The sequence below is a fragment of the Homo sapiens genome, chromosome 17 (assembly GCF_000001405.40).
Source record: "Homo sapiens chromosome 17, GRCh38.p14 Primary Assembly".
NCBI lineage: Eukaryota > Metazoa > Chordata > Mammalia > Primates > Hominidae > Homo > Homo sapiens.
The window spans coordinates 9,617,616-9,640,181 of NC_000017.11; the positions used below are offsets into that span (position 1 = coordinate 9,617,616).

Sequence of the window (22,566 nt, forward strand, 5' to 3'; positions counted from 1 at the left end):
TCAAAGGAAAGCCCATCAGACTAACAGCGGATCTCTCGGCAGAAACCCTACAAGCCAGAAGAGAGTGGGGGCCAATATTCAACATTCTTAAAGAAAAGAATTTTCAACCCAGAATTTCATATCCAGCCAAACTAAGCTTCATAAGTGAAGGAGAAATAAAATACTTTACAGACAAGCAAATGCTGAGAGATTTTGTCACCACCAGGCCTGCCCTAAAAGAGCTCCTGAAGGAAGCGCTAAACATGGAAAGGAACAACCGGTACCAGCTGCTGCAAAATCATGCCAAAATGTAAAGACCATCGAGACTAGGAAGAAACTGCATCAACTAATGAGCAAAATCACCAGCTAACATCATAATGACAGGATCAAATTCACACATAACAATATTAACTTTAAATATAAATGGACTAAATTCTGCAATTAAAAGACACAGACTGGCAAGTTGGATAAAGAGTCAAGACCCATCAGTGTGCTGTATTCAGGAAACCCATCTCACGTGCAGAGACACACATAGGCTCAAAATAAAAGGATGGAGGAAGATCTACCAAGCCAATGGAAAACAAAAAAAGGCAGGGGTTGCAATCCTAGTCTCTGATAAAACAGACTTTAAACCAACAAAGATCAAAAGAGACAAAGAAGGCCATTACATAATGGTAAAGGGATCAATTCAACAAGAGGAGCTAACTATCCTAAATATTTATGCACCCAATACAGGAGCACCCAGATTCATAAAGCAAGTCCTCAGTGACCTACAAAGAGACTTAGACTCCCACACATTAATAATGGGAGACTTTAACACCCCACTGTCAACATTAGACAGATCAACGAGACAGAAAGTCAACAAGGATACCCAGGAATTGAACTCAGCTCTGCACCAAGCAGACCTAATAGACATCTACAGAACTCCCCACCCCAAATCAACAGAATATACATTTTTTTCAGCACCACACCACACCTATTCCAAAATTGACCACATAGTTGGAAGTAAAGCTCTCCTCAGCAAATGTAAAAGAACAGAAATTATAACAAACTATCTCTCAGACCACAGTGCAATCAAACTAGAACTCAGGATTAAGAATCTCACTCAAAGCCGCTCAACTACATGGAAACTGAACAACCTGCTCCTGAACGACTACTGGGTACATAACGAAATGAAGGCAGAAATAAAGATGTTCTTTGAAACCAACGAGAACAAAGACACCACATACCAGAATCTCTGGGACGCATTCAAAGCAGTGTGTAGAGGGAAATTTATAGCACTAAACGCCTACAAGAGAAAGCAGGAAAGATCCAAAATTGACACCCTAACATCACAATTAAAAGAACTAGAAAAGCAAGAGCAAACACATTCAAAAGCTGGCAGAAGGCAAGAAATAACTAAAATCAGAGCAGAACTGAAGGAAATAGAGACACAAAAAACCCTTCAAAAAATCAATGAATCCAGGAGCTGGTTTTTTGAAAGGATCAACAAAATTGATAGACCGCTAGCAAGACTAATAAAGAAAAAAAGAGAGAAGAATCAAATAGACACAATAAAAAATGATAAAGGGGATATCACCACCGATCCCACAGAAATACAAACTACCATCAGAGAATACTACAAACACCTCTACGCAAATAAACTAGAAAATCTAGAAGAAATGGATACATTCCTCGACACATACACTCTCCCAAGACTAAACCAGGAGGAAGTTGAATCTCTGAATAGACCAATAACAGGCTCTGAAATTGTGGCAATAATCAATAGTTTACCAACCAAAAAGAGTCCGGGACCAGATGGATTCACAGCCGAATTCTACCAGAGGTACAAGGAGGAACTGGTACCATTCCTTCTGAAACTATTCCAATCAATAGAAAAAGAGGGAATCCTCCCTAACTCATTTTATGAGGCCAGCATCATTCTGATACCAAAGCCGGGCAGAGACACAACCAAAAAAGAGAATTTTAGACCAATATCCTTGATGAACATTGATGCAAAAATCCTCAATAAAATACTGGCAAACCGAATCCAGCAGCACATCAAAAAGCTTATCCACCATGATCAAGTGGGCTTCATCCCTGGGATGCAAGGCTGGTTCAATATATGCAAATCAATAAATGTAATCCAGCATATAAACAGAGCCAAAGACAAAAACCACATGATTATCTCAATAGATGCAGAAAAAGCCTTTGACAAAATTCAACAACCCTTCATGCTAAAAACTCTCAATAAATTAGGTATTGATGGGATGTATTTCAGAATAATAAGAGCTATCTATGACAAACCCACAGCCAATATCATACTGAATGGGCAAAAACTGGAAGCATTCCCTTTGAAAACTGGCACAAGACAGGGATGCCCTCTCTCACCGCTCCTATTCAACATAGTGTTGGAAGTTCTGGCCAGGGCAATCAGGCAGGAGAAGGAAATAAAGGGTATTCAATTAGGAAAAGAGGAAGTCAAATTGTCCCTGTTTGCAGACGACATGATTGTTTATCTAGAAAACCCCATCGTCTCAGCCCAAAATCTCCTTAAGCTGATAAGCAACTTCAGCAAAGTCTCAGGATACAAAATCAATGTACAAAAATCACAAGCATTCTTATACACCAGCAACAGACAAACAGAGAGCCAAATCATGAGTGAACTCCCATTCACAATTGCTTCAAAGAGAATAAAATACCTAGGAATCCAACTTACAAGGGATGTGAAGGACCTCTTCAAGGAGAACTACAAACCACTGCTCAAGGAAATAAAAGAGGACACAAACAAATGGAAGAACATTCCATGCTCATGGGTAGGAAGAATCAATATTGTGAAAATGGCCATACTGCCCAAGGTAATTTACAGATTCAATGCCATCCCCATCAAGCTACCAATGACTTTCTTCACAGAATTGGAAAAAACTACTTTAAAGTTCATATGGAACCAAAAAAGAGCCCGCATCGCCAAGTCAATCCTAAGCCAAAAGAACAAAGCTGGAGGCATCACACTACCTGACTTCAAACTATACTACAAGGCTACAGTAACCAAAACAGCATGGTACTGGTACCAAAACAGAGATATAGATCAATGGAACAGAACAGAGCCCTCAGAAATAATGCCGCATATCTACAACTATCTGATCTTTGACAAACCTGAGAAAAACAAGCAATGGGGAAAGGATTCCCTATTTAATAAATGGTGCTGGGAAAACTGGCTAGCCATATGTAGAAAGCTGAAACTGGATCCCTTCCTTACACCTTATACAAAAATCAATTCAAGATGGATTAAAGATTTAAACGTTAGACCTAAAACCATAAAAACCCTAGAAGAAAACCTAGGCATTACCGTTCAGGACATAGGCATGGGCAAGGACTTCATGTCCAAAACACCAAAAGCAATGGCAACAAAAGCCAAAATTGACAAATGGGATCTAATTAAACTAAAGAGCTTCTGCACAGCAAAAGAAACTACCATCAGAGTGAACAGGCAACCTACAACATGGGAGAAAATTTTCGCAGCCTACTCATCTGACAAAGGGCTAATATCCAGAATCTACAATGAACTCAAACAAATTTACAAGAAAAAAACAAACAACCCCATCAAAAAGTGGGCGAAGGACATGAACAGACACTTCTCAAAAGAAGACATTTATGCAGCCAAAAAACACATGAAGAAATGCTCATCATCACTGGCCATCAGAGAAATGCAAATCAAAACCACTATGAGATATCATCTCACACCAGTTAGAATGGCAATCATTAAAAAGTCAGGAAACAACAGGTGCTGGAGAGGATGTGGAGAAATAGGAACACTTTTACACTGTTGGTGGGACTGTAAACTAGTTCAACCATTGTGGAAGTCAGGGTGGCGATTCCTCAGGGATCTAGAACTAGAAATACCATTTGACCCAGCCATCCCATTACTGGGTATATACCCAAAGGACTATAAATCATGCTGCTATAAAGACACATGCACACGTATGTTTATTGCGGCACTATTCACAATAGCAAAGACTTGGAACCAACCCAAATGTCCAACAATGATAGACTGGATTAAGAAAATGTGGCACATATACACCATGGAATACTATGCAGCCATAAAAAATGATGAGTTCATGTCCTTTGTAGGGACATGGATGAAATTGGAAACCATCATTCTCAGTAAACTATCACAAGAACAAAAAACCAAACACCGCATATTCTCACTCATAGGTGGGAATTGAACAATGAGATCACATGGACACAGGAAGGGGAATATCACACTCTGGGGACTGTGGTGGGGTCGGGGGAGGGGAGAGGGATAGCATTGGGAGATATACCTAATGCTAGATGACACGTTAGTGGGTGCAGCGCACCAGCATGGCACATGTATACATATGTAACTAACCTGCACAATGTGCACATGTACCCTAAAACTTAGAGTATAATAAAAAAATAAATAAATAAATATAGTTTTTCATCAAAGACTACAGTTAACCAATGTTTGTATCTAATCTGCCAAAAAGGCAAGAGTCTCAGCATATTTTTATTTTCACCTTTCCTCCACCATGTCCTGTGTTGAAATTATTTGGAATTCTAGATCTTTGCTATTATCAGTCTCTCTCTCTCTTTTTAACACATCAATCCCCTTAGATTCTTTTTGTTTTGGAATTCTTTCAGAAACAATCTATATACAGAAAATATGGTCTCAGCCAGGTGCAGTGGCTCTTGCCTGTAATCACAGCACTTTGGGAGACTGAGGTGGGAGGATAATTAAAGCCCAGGAGTTTGAGACTAGCTGGGCAAGATGGTGAGACACCCCTTCCTCATCTTTACAAAACTAAATAAATAAACTGGACATGTTGGTGGCACTGCCTCTAGTCCCAGCTACTCGGGAGGCTAAGGTGGGAGGAAGTTTGAGGCTACCATGAGCTACAATCACACCAGTGCATGCCAGCCTGGGTGACAGAGTAAGACCCTGTTTCTATTAAAAAAAAAAGAAGAAGAAGAAGAAGAAGATGATGATGATGATGAGTAGAAGAAAGAAAAAAAGAAAATTTGGTCCCTGCTTACCTGAAAATATGTTTGTTTTACCCTCAGACTTGAATACAGTTTGGTGCAGTATAAAAAGAATTTTAATGGAGTTTGTATTGAAGTATAACATATATGCAAAATACATAAATCATAAATAAGCACCTCAGTGACTTATCACACCTATATGACTACCACCCTGGTAAAGCAATAGAACATTTTTATCATCCCCCAAACACCCCTTCCAATCACTACCCTCACCCTCCTACTTACTACCTGAACTAGTCTCATAGATTAGTTTTACCTGCTTTTGAACTTTATGTAAATAGAATATTTCAATATGTACTTTGGAGATCTTTTTTCTTCTCTGTGGAAGCTTTTAATGTAGTTAGTGTCATACAGATCTTCTTCTCCTTATTGATTTTTAGTCCACTTGTATTATCATTTACTGAGAAAAATGTTAAGGTCTCAGGCAATGAATGTAGAGTTCCACCTTTATTTCTCACAGTTTTTGTTTTGCATATCTTAAAGCTCTGTTATTAGGTGCTGTTAATTATTTGTTATATCTTTTTGCTGTATTGACATTTTTATTAAAGTGTTCCTCTTTGTCTCTAGTAATTCTCTTTGATTTGAAGTAACTTTGTATAATTTTAATGTACTCATTACAGCTTTCTTATGCTTACTCTTAGCATGATATATCTTTTTTAACCCTTTTATTTTTCCATGTGTCTTTATATTCAAAGTACATCTCTTGAAACAGCATATACTTGGTTTTTACTTCTCTATCCATTCTGATAATCTCTGCTTTTATTTGGAATGTTTAATCCATTTACATTTAATATAATCTTTCATATGTTTGTATTAAATCTTTATACAAACTCCATCAAACTCCATCAATGCAATATTATAATTTTTGCTTTAAAGAGTCATAAACATTTTCAAGAAATTAAGAGAAGAAAAAATTTAAAATGTCTTGTGTGCTTACTTATATATTTGACTATTTCTGATGGTCTTCATTCTTTCTTATATATCTAAGTTGTCATCTGTTACCTTTCCCCTCTCTAAAGAACTTTGCTTAGCTTTTTTTGTTTGTTTGTTTGTTTGTTTGTTTGTTTAAGAGACAGGGTTTCACTCTGTTGCCCAGGATGGAGTCAAGTGTCCATTCACCCGCATGATCATAGCACACTGCAGCCTAAACACCTGGTCTCAAGTGTTCCTCCTGCCTCAGCCTCCTGAGTAGCTGGGACTAGAGGTGCATGCCATTTTGCCTGGTTCATTTAACATCTTTTTAAAAGTATAAGCCTCTACTGAATAATTATCTCAGTTTTTATTTATCTGGAAACATTTTTTTAGCCTTTATTTTTGAAGAAAGTTTCACTGGTTACAGAATTCTTGCCCGATTATTTTCTATTTATTCATTAGTTTGAATACATCATTCCAGACTTTCTAATGAGAAGTCATTCTGTATTCTTATGATTTTCTTCTTTATAATATGTCATTTTTCTGTTTATATTTCAATATTTTTTCTTTGCTTTTGTCTTTCATCAGTTTGACTGTGATTTGTCTTTCTCTTTGTGTTTATCCTTTCTTAGCATTTGTTAAACTTTTTGAATCTATAAGCTGATATTTTCCACCAAATTGAGAAGTTTTTCAGCCCTTGTTCCTTAAGAATTTTCACCTTTGCTCACTTCTGTTCCCCTGAGATTTGAATTATCTGTGTTTAGTAATTTGAGATTTTCCTACAGATCTTTAGGCTGTTCATTTTTCTTCAATTTTTAAAATCTTTTTAAAATTATGTAATCTCTATTAAATCTACCTTCCAGTTTACAGATTTTTCACCATCTCCAATCTGTCATTGAGTCCACCTAGTAAATTTATTTTAGTTATTGTACTTCTTACCTATAGAAGAATATATAATTGCTATAAGGTATATAATTATAATATTACATATATAGTTTCTAGTTCTCTGTTCAGATTACCTATCTGTTCACTTATTGATGTGATAGTTTCCTTTAATATTTTGAATGTATTTTAAAATAGCTGCTTTAAAGTTTTTGTCTGCTAATCCAGTACCTGGGTCTACTTGGAATCAGTTGCTTCTGACTCTGCCTTTTTTTTGAGTCATATTTTCCTATTTCTTTGCATGTTTGATAATTTTTTGTTGTTGAAAACTCAGTATTATATAGAATATACTATAGCAACTCTGTTCTCTGAGGATTGTTGGCATGGACTCAAACTGCAAATTTTGCCTCCCCATAGTATGCATCATCTGTTATTCTCATGACTTCCCACTGCTGCTTTTTTAGCCTGGCCTTGGGTTCTTCTGTGTGCTTGCATTATGTAGCAGTCAACCAAGGGTTTATGCAGAGATGAAGCTCATCCTTTCCATGATTTCCTTTCTTTTAGTGACTTCTCCCTATTTTCCAAATATTCTGTTAACCTCAAGCTCTGACACTTGAAGCCTGTGAGGTTCAGCTTCCTGCCATCCAAGCTGAGCTCAGTTGGGGAATGTATTTACTTAAAAAGGCAAGCAAACAAAAAAGCAACAAACAAAAAACCTCTCAGATTGACCCCATGTAGCTGTCTTTAGCAGTAGAATCCTTAAAAAAAATCAATTAAAAAAAAAACACAGTAGAATCCTCCCTGGTCTCTGCCTGCTTGTTCTTCCTCTTGGTATTCCCCCCATACATATATAATTTAGCTACCCAGCAGAGACTTGGGCAGTGTTTATAACCAGAATTTACATCTTATTCTTGTGGTTCTCTTGCCACTAGGATATTCCCCCTTTAAATTCCAGCTGATTTTCTAGCCCTCAACTCTGATCTCTAGCATTGTTAGCTAGGGATACATGTATAATTTAGCTACCCAACAGAGATTTGTGCAGTGTTTATAACCAGAATTTACATCTTATTCTTGTGGTTCTCTTGCCACTAGGATATTCCCCCTTTAAATTCCAGCTGATTTTCTAGCCCTCAACTCTGATCTCTAGCATTGTTAGCTGGTAACGCTATGGTTTTTCTGCCACCTTTTTCTACAGCCACCATAGCTGTGGGAGTTGGAGGCTCCCACATGTGAGAAAGCCACATGCTAACAATTCTCAACCCTTTCCAGTTGCACTCTTAGAAGAGCAAACTCTTCCTGATTTCTATCTACTTTTAGAGGTTTTTGGTGTCATTAAGATTTTGTTATTGTTGTTAATTCATCCAGTTTTTCTAATTGTTATTTGTGAGAAAATGTGTGTGAACCAGTTCAGTGCTCCAGCCTTACAAGATGTACTCTCTGCTTATACTTTTGAGCCCAGTTTTTCTCTACAGCTCTTATCTGGCTGATTTCTATTTATCCATAATGTTTCTGACCTATGTGATGATACTCTTTCCTGCTTTCCTGTATTGTTAAGGGCAAAATTATGTACATCTATAGCTACATCTATATCTATAAATATCTTCATTTCATGGGATTTTAGGTGGGAGAGAGGGAGCACATGGGCTTGGTACCTCATCATGATCCAATCAATTGGGTTCTTTCTGGAACTTAACCTCTCAGACCCTAAACTAAGAACAATCTACCACTTGAATGGTTCAGTTTTGAACTAGGCTTGACTGCCAAGGAAGTGGATAGGCCATCAAGTGTAGAGAGTTTGGAAGAAAGTTCTTCTTTTTTGAGATGGAGTTTTGTTCTTGTTGCCCAGGCTGGAGTGTAATGGCATGATCTCAGCTCACTGCAACCTCCGCCTCCTGGGTTCAAGTGATTCTCCTTCCTCAGCCTCCCAAGTAGCTGGGACTACAGGCGCACACCACCACACCCAACTAATTTTTGTATTTTTAGTAGATACAGCGTTTTGCCATGTTGGCCAGGCTGGTCTCAAACTCCTGACCTCAGGTGATCCACTCACCTTGGCCTCCCAAAGCACTGGGATTACAGGCATGAGCCACTGCTCCTGACCTGGAAAGTTCTTCGGGGGCATTGATTTCATGATATTTGATTTTCATGAGTGGTCCATGAGTACACCTCTTTAAGAGCTTACTTCCCTCAGAGGAGGAGCTCATTCACCAAAGGCATTATCTAATATAAATATCTCTAATTTTAAATAAATATTAACATTCTAGTGTTGACTTGATTTACATTAATCAAGACTGTCTGGCAAGAAGCCCCATCACATCTGTTGTCTCATTCCAGCACTTACTCTTTCTAACTAAGTAGTCCATCATTATAACTGTAACACTAAGCCCCAAGCATTAAATGTGTGGAAGGGATCCACTTATTTTTTGTTTTAATTCTAAAGTGAGTAGGTCTTAAGAGAAAAGGACTCTTTTTTGAAATGTGTTCATGAAAAAATGTAGACATTGCTTGAGATGTACTGAAATCTAAAAATTAGCTTTAATCTCCACAGAGACAAGCTAGAAATTTATACTTATGAACCAAATGGTCTTTATTGTACCCCAATATTACTTCTTCTTATTATTTGAATTGGAATAATCTGTAATCTTTTGACACATTGGTAATTTACATTGTATTTAGAGGTTGCCTTTTTTTTTTTTTTTGAGCTTGACAGACAAAAGAAGGGTTTTGGGTTATCTGCAAACTTGAATTCTGGCACCATTGTCTTTTCCTTTTTGAAAATTTTAATAAGATTGTCTGCTTGGCTGGGCACAGTGGCTCACACCTGTAATCCCAGCACTTTGGGAGGCCGATGTGGGTGGATCACCTGAGGTCAGGAGTTTGAGACTAGCCTGGCCAACATGGTGAAACCCCGTCTCTACTAAAAATACAAAAAATTAGCCAGACATGGTGGCACATGCCTGTAATCCCAGCTACTCGGGAGGCTGAGGCAGGAGAATGGCTTGAACACAGGAGGTGGAGTAAGCCAAGATCGGACCATTGCACTCCAGCCCAGGCAACAGAGTGAGACTCCATCTCAAAAATAAATAAATAAATGAATAAATAAATAAATATTGTCTACTTCACAGGAAAGGGTTTGTTTATTCTCTCTTAATACAAGCAATCCAAGGCTGTATTTATCTCAAGAAATGTTATAGGTGTCGACTTATCTTCAAACTCAGGTAATATACATTAAATATGTTCAGCTTTTTGTTTGTCAATCATACCTCAATAAAGTGGTTTTTATTTTATTTCATTTTATTTTTAGAGGCAAATTCTCTTGTCTCACTCTGTCATCCAGGCTGGAGTGCAGTGGCACGATCATAGCTCAATGCAGTCTCCAACCCCTAGGCTCAAGAGATCTTCCTTCCTCAGCCTCCTAAGAAGCCAGGACCACAGGCATGCATCACTACACCCAGCTAATTTTTATATATTTTTATTTTTTGGGGAGGCAGGGTCTCACTATGTTGCCCAGGCTGGTCTTGAACTCCTGGCCTCAAGTCATGGGATCCTCCTTTCTTGGCCTCCCAAAGTGCTGGGATTACAGGTGTCAGCCACCATATCAGGCCTCAATAAAGTAGTTTTATAGAAAAGACAAATGTTACTATCCTCCAGTCTACCAAGACTTTGTGAGAATTTTAAATTGGCTTATTCTTTTTGAGCAACTTTGTCCCAACCCTTCCTAAAGAGAAAGGACTACAAAAGATGGTCCACAGATGATTAGAGGGCATTAAATACCGTTTACACAAGATGTTTCAAATGGTCTGTAAGACAATCATCAAGGCTTCAGATAATAAAAGGCATCCTTCCCTATATTCTTTTTTTTTTTTTTTGAGATGGAGCCTAGCTCTGTCACCCAGGCTGGAGTGCAGTGGCCCCATCTTGGCTCATTGCAACCTTTGCCTTCCAGGTTCAAGCGATTCTCCTGCCTCAGCCTCCTGAGTAGCTGGGATTACAGGCATGCACCACCATACCCGGCTAATTTTTGTATTTTTAGTAGAAACGGGGTTTCACCATGTTGGTCAGGCTGGTCTCAAACTCCTGACCTCGTGATCCACCCCCCTGGCCTCCCAAAGTGCTGGGATTACAGGTTTGAGCCACCGCGCCCAGCCTTTTCCTATATTTTTGTGAAACACATTTTGGTGTCAAATATGCATCTGGGAAACTGCATCTTTTATGGTTGCATCTCTTGATGGCTTCCTTGCAGTGGCACTGCTGAGCTATTTGCAACCTGTGCCAAGAAGGATATCAGGGTGTGGCACACATCATCCAACAGGGAGCTGCTGCGGATCACCGTGCCCAACATGACCTGCCACGGCATCGACTTCATGAGGGACGGCAAAAGCATCATTTCAGGTAACGTCCACATGTCAAGATCTGGCTTGGGGCTCTAGCTGCGGTTTTGATTCTTGTCACTCTCCTCCCATACTAGTCTCTACATGTGGATAACCTAGAACAGCCTCCCACTGTCCACCCCCTTCTTGCTTCTAATCTAGCCTCTCTTTGGAGTTTCCTTCCAGCTGGGAGACTTTCTGAGCTAGGAAGGACCAAATAGCAATTTCTCCTCTCCCACATTGCTGCATATAGCGTGAATCTTTCTCTCTAGTAGGAAAATTTAGAAGTTCAATTTTGAAAAGGAGTTTGAAAAGGACAGGTCCCCCATGTGAGGACCCTTTTTGTTGTGTAAGAGATAAAACCCTGACTCAAACGAAGTGATGTCTCAAAGGGAATTTATTTTTAACTCAATTTATTATTTTATGCCATTTAGCATAAATTATAGGCAGCGTGATATTCCACCTCTAAAGACTTCAGCATGTATCTCTAAAAATGTTTTCCTTTAAAACAGTAATTTCTCAGTATTGTCTTATGCTAAATCTATCTGTAAGTCTCCCCAGTGCTCAGAAAGTACACATACTGCTTCACATCAATGAAAAGTTCAGTGGATCTTTAGGGACAGCTATTAAAATGGTGACACCAGGAAACCATCTCGCCCCTCTTTTCTTTCTTTCCCTTTCTTTCTTTCTTTCTTTCTTTTCTTTTCTTTCTTTCTTTCTTCTTTCTTTTTTCTTCCTTGCTTGCTTGCTTTTTTTTTTTTTTTCTCAGATGGAGTTTCACTCTTGTTGCCCAAGCTGGAGTGCAATGGCGCGATCTAGGCTCACTGCAACCTCTGCCTCCCGTGTTCAAGCAATTCTCCTGTCTCAGCCTCCAGAGTAGCTGGGATTACAGGCACGCTCCTGCCTCAGCCTCCCAAGTATCTGGGACTACAGGCGTGTGTCATCACGATGGGCTAATTTTTTGTATTTTTAGTAAAAACGGGTTTTCACCATGTTGGCCAAGCTGGTCTTGAACTCCCGACCTCAGGCAATCCACCCGCCTCGGCCTCCCAAAGTGATGGGATTACAGGAGTGAGCCACTGCACCCGGTCCTCACTCCTCTTTTCTTGGCCCTGTCTTCTCCTCCTTGTTAGCGTCCCTACCCCACCCTGCGCATGTCTTCTCCACATAGGGCTGCCAGGAGCTCTGGGCTTACCTTACATCTAGAGCGAACACGGCTCAGGACAGAAATCTTGGAGTCCTCACTGCCTCCCCTTTTTCTCTTATGCCCACATCCACATCCCCTGCTGATGCTCATTTCAAAGTACATCCAAGGTCCCTCACCCCTCATTATCTTCCCCCTTATCCTAGCCACCAGCATCTCTCCCCTAGATTGCCCTCGTACCTTCCTACCACGTCTCCTTGCTTCTCTTCTCACCCAGTATACTTTCCCGCAGTCTGTTTTCGACACAGAAGCCAGAAGCCAGAAGCCAGAGGTCTGTTTTAAAATGTAAGTCAGGGCCAGGCGCGGTGGCTCACGCCTGTAATCCCAGCACTTTGGAGGCCGAGGCGTGAGCCACCGCACCTGGACCTGATTTACATAGCTGTGATTACAAGCATGCGCCACCATGCCCAGCTAATTTTTGTAATTTTTTTTTTTTTTTTTTTAAGAGACGGAGTCTTTTTCTGTCTCCCAGGCTGGAGTGCGGTGGCGCGATCTCGGCTCACTGCAAGCTCCGCCTCCCGGGTTCACGCCATTCTCCTGCCTCAGCCTCCCGAGTAGCTGGGACTACAGGCGCCCGCTACCACGCCCGGCTAATTTTTCTGTATGTTTAGTAGAGACGGGGTTTCACCGTGTTAGCCAGGATGGTCTGGATCTCCTGACCTCGTGATCCGCCCGCCTCGGTCTCCCAAAGTGCTGGGATTACAGGCGTGAGCCACTGCGCCCTGCCCGATTTTTGTAATTTTTTGAGTAGAGATGGGGTTTCGCCTGAGGTCAGGAGTTTGAGAACAGCCTGACCAATATGGTGAAACCCCATCTCTACTAAAAATACAAAAATTAGCCGGGCGTGGTGGCGGGAGCCTGTAGTCCCAGCTACCCGGGAGGCTGAGACAGGAGAGTTTCTTGAACCCGGGAGGTGGAGGTTGCAGTGAGCCAAGATCGCACCACTGCACTCCAGCCTGGGTAACAGAGCCAGACTCCATCTCAAAAAAAAGAAAGAAAGAAAGAAAGAAAGAAAGAAAGAAAGAAAGAGAGAGAGAGAGAGAGAGAGAGAGAAAGAAAGAAAGAAAGAAAGAAAGAAAGAGAAAGAAAGAAAGAGAAAGAAAGAACATAAGTCAGAATTTGCCATATTTAGGGCTCAAAAGTCTTTTACCCTCTAAGAGTAAATGACAAAGATCCCCCCATCACCTACAAGGCTCCATGTGAATTTCTGTCCTCCTTTACCTTCTTACCTGGAGCTCTTCCTCTTACTACTCACCCCTTCTAGCCATACTTTCTTCTTGCTGTTCCTCAAACACACTGGGCATAGATAGAGCCTTTGCTCTGACTCTTATGTCTGCCTGAAATATTCTTTCCCTAGATACCTCCATGGCTCACTCCCTCACCCCCTCACCTCCTCAAATCTTTGCTGAAATGGGATCTACCTTTAGCATTCTATTTTAAACTGCTAAGGTCAAGAGGTGACATTAAAGCTTATGAGAGGGTGCCAGCCATTTGAAGACCTGGGGAGAAAACATTCCAGGCAGAGGGAATAGCAAGTGCAAAGGCCCTCAGGAGGGAGATCGCTTGGTGGATTTGAGGAATAGCAAGAGGGCCAGTGTGTCTGGGGCTTAGTGGGTAGTTGGGCTAGGGGTGCAGGGACAGCCAGTAAAAGAAGTTAAAAGAGATGGCGGGGGTTGGGGGTCGGGCACAAATACTAGTTACCGTGGAGGATAAAGGAGTTTGGATTGGATTTTAATTCTAAGTGCAGTGGGAAAATGTTTTGGAAAGTTTTTTTTTTTTTTTGAGATGGAGTCGTGCTCTGTTGCCCAGGCTGGGAGTGCAGTGCTGTGATCTCGGTTCACTGCAACCTCCGCCTCCCGGGTTCAAGCGATTCTCCTGCCTCAGCCTCCTGAGTAGCTGGGATTACAGGCATGCTGCCACCATGCCCAGCTAATTTTTGTAATTTTTTTTAGTAGAGGTGGGGTCTTGCCATGTTGACCAGGCTGGTCTCCACCTCCTGTCCTCAAGTGATCCGCCTGCCTTGGCCTCCCAAAGCGCTGGGATTACAGGTATGAGCCACTGCGCCCAGCCTCCACTTTTTTTTTTCTTTTTTTGAGACAGGGTCTTGCTCTGTTGCCCAGGCTGAAGTGCAGTGGCGGACTCTTGGCTCACTGCAACCTCCATCTCCCAGGTTTAAGTGATCCTCCTACTTCAGCCTCCCGAGTAGCTAGGACTAAATGGGCATGCCACCATGCGAGGCAAGTTTTTTTTTGTTTTTTTTTTTCATATTTTTTGTAGAGACTGGGTCTTGCCATGTTTCCAGGCTGGTCTTGTGCTCCTAGACTCAAGCAATCCACCCACCTTGGCCTCCCAAAGTGCAAAGTGTTGAGATTATAGATATAAGCCTTTTTTTTTAAATAAAAAAGGAAGTTCTTGATCAAGAAGATGACATAATTTTTAAAAGGCCACACTGATCCCTGCATAAATAAGTGGTTGTAAGCAAGAGTGGAAGCAAGCATAAGCTGTTATCACAATCCAGGAGAAAGATGGTGGTGCCTTGGATGAAGGAGGTACCAGTGGAACTGTTGAGAGGTGCTCAGATTTGAATGTTTTTTAACAGTAAAGCTGGTGGAAATTGTTGATGGATTGGATGTTGGATTGGGTTGGGTAGATGGAATTGAGGGTAATCAAGGAAGACTCAGGCTGTTGGCTTAGGCAACTGGATGGGTGGTGGCAACCTGTAGAAGGGAAAGGGGCCTATGGTGACCAGCATTCAGCTGAGCTGGTCTCTTTCCTCCAGCACAGCACCACTCACCAGGCCTGCCTCTCCTTAGTGAGGCCAGCAGACTGTGGAGAGAGGGTGCATATACTGATCCTGCCTGCCTTTTGTTTCCCTTTCATGCCAGCATGGAACGACGGTAAAATCCGAGCCTTCGCCCCAGAGACAGGCCGACTGATGTATGTCATTAACAATGCTCACAGGATCGGCGTCACCGCCATCGCCACCACCAGTGACTGTAAAAGGGTCATCAGTGGCGGTGGGGAAGGGGAGGTATTGAAAGCAGAAATTTGAAAAAATAACGCTCTGTTTAGAACAACTGCCCTATAGGAAGCCATCTATTTGCTTTTAAAAATACACACCTTTGCTAGTATTCAAGCAGGACCAAATTGACATTTTGATGAGATCTGAAAATATGTCATAAATAAAAGTTCTAATATTATAAATGTATACTTATTTTGAAATGGAGTCTCACTCTGTCACCCAGTCTGGAGAGTGCAGTGGCTCAATCTTGGCTCGTTACAACCTCTGCCTTCTGGGTTCAAGCGATTCTCCTGCCTCAGCCTCCTGAGCAGCTGGGATTACAGGCGCACACCGTCATGCCCAGCTAATTTTTCTATTTTTAGTAGAGATGGGGTTTCACCATGTTGGCCAGGCTGGTCTCAAACTCCTGACCTCAGATGATCCACCTGCCTTGGCCTCCCAAAGTGCTGGGATTACAGGTATGAGCAACCATGCCTGGCCTATAAATATATATCTAAGTACATTTGTACACAGAAAGGACGTTTACAATACAGACATGAAAGTGTTCTATGTGGACTAGAGTTAAGGAATTCATGCGGGTGTTTTGCCAGTGTTTTGGCTTGCTTGCTCTTTTCCTCCGAGGATCGTGGTTGTACGAATTGTCATCTTATCTTTTTTTTTTTTTTTTAGACGGACAGAGTCTCCCTCTGTCACCCAGGCTGGACTGCAGTGGCACAATCTTGGCTCACTGCAAGCTCCGCCTCCTGGGTTCACGCCATTCGCCTGCCTCAGCCTCCTGAGTAGCTGGGACTACAGGTGCCTGCCACCACGCCCAGCTAATTTTTTTTTGTATTTTTTTAGTAGAGACGGGGTTTCACCGTGTTAGCCAGGATGGTCTCGATCTCCTGACCTCGTGATCCGCCTGCCTCGGCCTCCCAAAGTGCTGGGATTACAGGCGTGAGCCACCGCGCCTGGCCCATCTTATCTTTTAAAGCAGGTGATGGTTTTAGCATCAATTATTAAATACACCCAGACGTTTTGACCATTATTTTTAAATGATCATGCTCAACTTTTTCTTCCCATTATTTTGAGGAGGCTGTAACACCTTTTGCTCACACATTTTTCTCTGGTTCTCTCCTCCTCTGTGCCCCAGATTCTTTGCTATCCCAAAGCCTTCCCTTTCTCTTTGAGATATTTTCTTTTCCTTTCCTTAATCCCCTGTCATAGGAAGAACAGAATAGTTTGTGCTCATCTTATTTTTCATAAATCCAACATAGGCACTATAAGAAGGCGTAAGCATCTGACTACTATGTTTTCTGGTGTAGTTGTGACAGATCCTTTGTCCATTAAAGGAATACTGGCTGGGCCTGGTGGCTCACGCCTGTAATCTCAGCACTTTGGGAGGCTGAGGCAGGTGGATCACCTGAGCTCAGGAGTTTGAGACCAGCCTGGCCAACATGGCCAAACCCTGTCTCTACTAAAAATACAAAAATTAGGCCAGGCGTGGTGAGTTGGAGGTTGCAGTGAGCCGAGACCACGCCATTGCATTGCACTCCAGCCTGGGTGACAGAGCGACATTTTGTCTCAAAAAAAGAAAAAAAAATACAAAAATTAGCCAGGTGTGGTGGTGCACTCCTGTAGTCCCAGCTACTTGGGAGGCTGAGACAGGAGAATTGCTTGAATCCATGAGGCAGAGGTCGCAGTGAGCCGAGATCGCGCCATTGCACTCCAGCCTGGGAGACGGACCAAGACTCCATCTCAAAAAATGAAGGAATACCATACTAACTAAACAACTTCCCTTTTATCTATCCTTTTTATTAAAGCATCATATTAATGATTTTAAATTTTGTGTGTAGGTAGTTGTATTACCTATGAATTTCACTCCAGGATAATACACAGGTATTTGGAAATATTTGTGATATAAAATAGGTATTGGATTCAGTAGAGTTGGGAACCATTGCTTTTAAATGATCAAAATTGAACAGCTGATTGTGAAAGTTTAAATATAGCTCTGGGTACTCACGAACTTTCCTGACAGTACCAGAAATTTGAGAGCAGTGATCAGCAAAAGTGAATAGACATTATTTCACTTGGTTTTGCGTTGGCCCTTGCATTATCGATTTGCATAGCAGGTGTCTGATTAAATTTCTCAGCCTGTATGTACAAGCAGGTACAGGATTGTTAGTAGCATTTTTGAAGCTCTGTTGAAGATGATCACATCTTATACATGAATATGCCTGCCCTTCAACTTAGCATTCACACCCCACCCAACCGAGACAAAGACAGGGAATTAAAAAAACACAAATCAAGCATAGCAAAGGGGAAAAAGCTCTTGGAATCTTTTCCTATCCCTTCAGAAGTCCCAAGTGTGGATCAAGATCCTGTGCTCTGTGGCTTTCAGGTGAGGGTATGGCAGATAGGCTGTCAGACCCAGAAGCTGGAGGAGGCCCTGAAGGAACACAAGTCATCAGTGTCCTGCATTAGGGTGAAGAGGAACAACGAGGAGTGTGTCACCGCCAGCACCGATGGGACTTGTATCATTTGGGACCTTGTGTAGGTACCTGTGATGGGGAGGATGCAGTGATACCTGCAAAATCCAATCATGCCAACAGTTTATTGAACATGAGAGAAGATTCACATGGAGGGTAGAAATCTTATTTAAGGCAACACAGTAAAGGGATGTTCATCAGAAGCCGTTCATGACGGTCCATGGTTTATCGATGCTAGTGGGGAGGGTTACAATTTCCAGGAAGAACTGAATGTTAGAAGTTTCTGGGCAGATAGGGAAATAGCTTTCTGTGTCCACACAGTGAAGCATGGTTTAACTTACACGAATTCAACCCTAAGTGTCCCAAATGAAAGGGGGCAAGAAAAATAACGAATGCAAGGTCGGGCGTGGTGGCTTCTGCCTGTAATCCCAGCACTTTGGGAGGCTGAGGTGGGCAGATCACCTGAGGTCAGGAGTTCGAGACCAGCCTGGCCAACATGGTGAAACCCCTTCTCTACTAAAAATAAAAAAAGTTAGCTGGGCGTGGCGGCAGGTGCCTGTAATCCCAGCTACTTGGGAGGCTGAGGCAGGAGAGTCGCTTGAACCCAGGATGCGGAGGTTGCAGTGAACTGAGATCATGCCACTGCACTCTGGCCTGGGCAACAAGAGTGAAACTCTGTCTCAAAAAAAAGAAAGAAAGAAAGAAAGAAAGAAAGAAAGAAAGAAAGAAAGAAAGAAAGAAAGAAAGAAAGAAAGAAAGAGAAAGAAAAATAACTAATGCAGGCAGTGCCTCTTATCATTCCAGTTAGTCAGGTGAAGCCCAGAATGAACTTCCCATGGAGGGGAGGGATGCTGGTGGGACATACATTTGCCTTTCCCCTCGGTTGGCTGCATTCCCGGGGACCTCTTATGCTCCGAGCGTATCACACCCCCATAGAATGACTAACTTCAAACTAACTAGACCAAAGCCTGTGAACTTTATTGTAGGAGTAACTCAAAGGATTTTTGAACAGTGGCTTTTTGAATTTTTGACTATAAGCATTTTTGCTGTGTTTTTATTTTAGAATCGGATGCCATTCCTCCACCCCTCTCCCCACCCACCTATCACCCCTCTACCCCTCCTACGAGGCACTGCCTCTATATCACTGCATACGAGAGACGAGGATAAGTGCAAAGATGGGAGGAAGGAGGCACGCACGACAAAGAACATGAGATACGCTTGATGGGAATGAGAACTCAATGTGTACTTAATACATTAAAAAACACAAAGCACTGCTGGGCGCGGTGGCTCCCGCCTGTAACCCCAGCACTTTGGGAGGCCGAGGTGGGAGGATCAAGAGGTCAGGAGTTTGAGCCCAGCCTGACCAACATGGTGAAAGCCCGTCTCTACTAAAAATACAAAAAGTAGCTGGGCGTGGTGGCGCGTGCCTGTTATCCCAGCTACTCAGGAGGCTGAGGCAGGAGAATCGCTTGAACCCGGGAGGCGGAGGTTGCAGTGAGCTGAGATCGCACCACTGCACTCCAGCCTGGGCCACAGAGTGAGACTTCGTATCAAAAAAGCAAACAAACAAACAAAAAAGCAAAAAAAAACCCGACAAAGCAAGCTTTTGTCTTCTAGCCCTGTGTGTCTCCTGGGGATCTTGTTACAAATGTCGATTTTGATTCATTAAATTTAGCATGGTACCTGAGATTCTGCATTTCTAAGAAGCTGCCAACTGAGAGTGCTGGTTCAAGGACCACACTTGTAGGAAGTGTTAGGCTATACCTGACCTTCCTCCTGGGAAAATATAGAACTAGAAGGACATGTCTGAACTTATTTCTATGGATGCTTTGTGACTGCCTCAAATCCTTAAAGCTGTTCCGTTGTGTAGCAGGAATTCTTGTGCCAAAATCTTTAAAAATGCTCAGCTCAGATACCACGTTTGAAAACTTCCATAATGAGAAGAAACTGTGCAGAAGGTGCATTTTTTAGCCAGGAAAGCCTGGCCTGTGAGATGGCCACCCACCACATTGTCTGTGGAAGGAGAAGCGATATTTACATATTTCTTGGTACAGTATCTAAGGCAGGGGTTCTATTATGCACATAAAAATCAACTGAAATGCTGGTTTAAAATGCAGATCCTGGCCAGGCGTGCTGCAGTGGCATGATCTTGGCTCACTGCAGCCTCTGCCTCCCGGGTTCAAGTGCTTCTCTTGCCTCAACCTCCCAAATAGCTGGGATTACAGGCATGCGCCACCACGCCTGGCTAATTTCTGTATTTTTAGTAGAGACGGGGTTTCACCATGTTGGCCAGGCTGGTCTCAATCTCCTGACCTCAGGTGATCTGCCCACCTTGGCCTCCCACAAGTGCTGGGATTGTAGGCGTGAGCTGCTGCACTCGGCCCATAATACCCATTTTAAAAATACCCTTCCCAGGCCGGGCTCTCTTCAGTTGCGGGAGGCCAGCTCCCTCTTGGGGGCACCCTGGGCAGGGTAGGGGGTGGGTCTTGGGAGGGACTTCTTACCATATGCAGACAAGGGTTGAGCCTGCCAGCTTTTGGGACATCCCCACGTGACAGGCTCGTGCTTTCCGAGGGTTGTGCATGATATGGTACGTCCAAACCTGTGTACAAATGTGTACATGACATCTTGCTACAGCTTTTATTTGTGAATTAAAGATACATCGATGATTAAAACATAAACAAAATAAAATACCCTTCCCCACATTCTGCTTCTCAGACTGTAGGGAGCTCCACTTCCAAATGGTGGCCTCAGGACTCAAGTACATTGTGTGGGAGGCAGCAGGTTGGCTGTGAGTTCAGCCTCTTCTGCTTCTTCTTCCCTGGAACTTAAGGGTTCTCATTGAGTTTCGTGCTCTGTCTTTAGGAAAGGGCCCTTCCCATTGTCCTCTGGTGGTCACTGATAGGCCAACCGGAGTACACAGAAGTAGAGAGGACAGGGTGACCTGAAGTCTGTTTTGAAGAAATACAAGCACCACTTTGCTGAGCAGTATGAGATGTTTGGCATGGAGATAAACCAACCCAAATCCCAGCTTGCACCAAATCCAGCTTGAATAGTGAATAAATTTCCTAGGGAAGAGAAAGTCGACTTTCACAGCTTTTGAATCTACTTTCCAGGCGTCTCAGGAGGAATCAGATGATACTAGCCAACACCTTATTCCAGTGTGTGTGCTATCACCCTGAGGAGTTCCAGATCATCACCAGCGGAACAGACAGAAAGGTGAGTCCTCCCAGTGAGAGATGAGATCTTTCCAGCGCAAGAGAAAAGCAGTGAGGCGTTGTGGTGGAGGGTGCGGGCTCTGGAGTCAAACCACCTTGTTTCCAATGGTGGTCTGTCATCAATCAGCCATGCCACTTTGGAAAGGCCATATCACCTTCCAGTGTCTTCACTTCCCCACCTGTTAAGTGGAAATGGTACCACTGACCTCATAGAGTAAGGATTAAAGTCATGCTTGCTCATGGTGCTTATAGCAGGGGGTCTGGCACATAGTAGGTACTCAATAGATTGGTTTTTATTATTAGGGAATTTCTGAGACTGGAGTAGAATTGCTGTGCCCAAACCGGTTATCACTTTGACTAAATTCAGACAGAAAGGCAATAGAGCTCCTCATCTCTCAGCACTGTACTTCATCAATACATTAAAAATCTACACACGGAGCCAAGCGTGGTGGCTGATGCCTGTAATTCCAGCACTTTGTGAGGCTGAGGCGGGTGGATCACCTGAGGTCAGGAGTTCGAGACCAGCCTAGCCAACATGGTGAAACCCCATCTCTACAAAAAATACAAAAAATTAGTAGGGTGTGGTAGCGGGTGCCTGTAATCTCAGCTACTCAAGAGGCTGAGGCATGAGAATTGCTTGAACCTGGGAAGTGGAGGTTGCGGCGAGCCAAGATTGCACCACTGCACTCCAGTCTGGGTGACAGAGCAAGACTCTCTCTTAAAAAAAAAAAAAAATTCTACATATGGTACAGATTTCCCAGCTAAAGAGGAAGGTGAAGGTTCATCCTTCTGTTTGGGGGAATGTTCACCCTTGGAGCAAGCAAGGGGTCCCTGCTCTCATGAACCTTACTTCCCTAATTTATTTTGGGTAGGAGGGGATGGAATTGGCTAATACACACATGAACCAATCCATGAATGGACAATGAATAACAAGTGAACAAGAGATGAGATGGTGAAAGGACTGAGAAAGGAGATAGAACTGGTGACATGATACTGGCGGGCGGGGGAAAGCTCCTTCAGCTGGGGTGGTGGGTGAAGGCCTCCTTAAGGAGCAGCATCTGAGTGAGGCCTGAATGACAGAAGGACTCAGTCAATGCCTAGACCTCAAGGAAGGGCATCTCTGGCAGAGGACACTCCAGTAAGATGGAGCCCTACTGGGGCTGCCCAGGAGAGTGTCAATTTGGCTTCTTTGGCTGGGAAGGCAGGCAGTCAAGTTCCAACTACTTCTGTGGGTGTGAATCCTGAGAAACATGGGTTCTGGCATGGTTTTCTATCTCTTTAGGCGTTTACTATGAAATCAGAACTTTTTTGTTAACATGATCAAGCATCAACAGACATTACAAAGCAAAAGAAAAAAATTAACAAGAAATAGTATGCATAATGTCTAGCTAGATTCAGAGGAATACAGACTCCTGGCAGAGTGACTGGAACACAGCACGTTTCCGACATGAAACAATGAGAAACAAATGAA

At 42.6% G+C, this 22,566-nt stretch overlaps 1 protein-coding gene across 8 annotated transcripts in view; it reads left to right on the plus strand.

Moving 5' to 3' along the window:
- The window catches only part of CFAP52 (cilia and flagella associated protein 52), a 68,913-nt gene that overhangs the window by 40,974 nt on the left and 5,373 nt on the right, over nucleotides 1-22,566 (plus strand). For all 8 annotated transcript variants that reach the window (XM_047435437.1, XM_047435439.1, XM_047435438.1 and 5 more), the window contains 4 exons: nucleotides 11,057-11,205; nucleotides 15,273-15,418; nucleotides 17,790-17,941; nucleotides 20,994-21,096. In XM_047435437.1, the coding sequence (XP_047291393.1) occupies nucleotides 11,057-11,205; nucleotides 15,273-15,418; nucleotides 17,790-17,941; nucleotides 20,994-21,096 (550 nt within the window). The remainder of the gene's footprint in view (nucleotides 1-11,056; nucleotides 11,206-15,272; nucleotides 15,419-17,789; nucleotides 17,942-20,993; nucleotides 21,097-22,566) is intronic.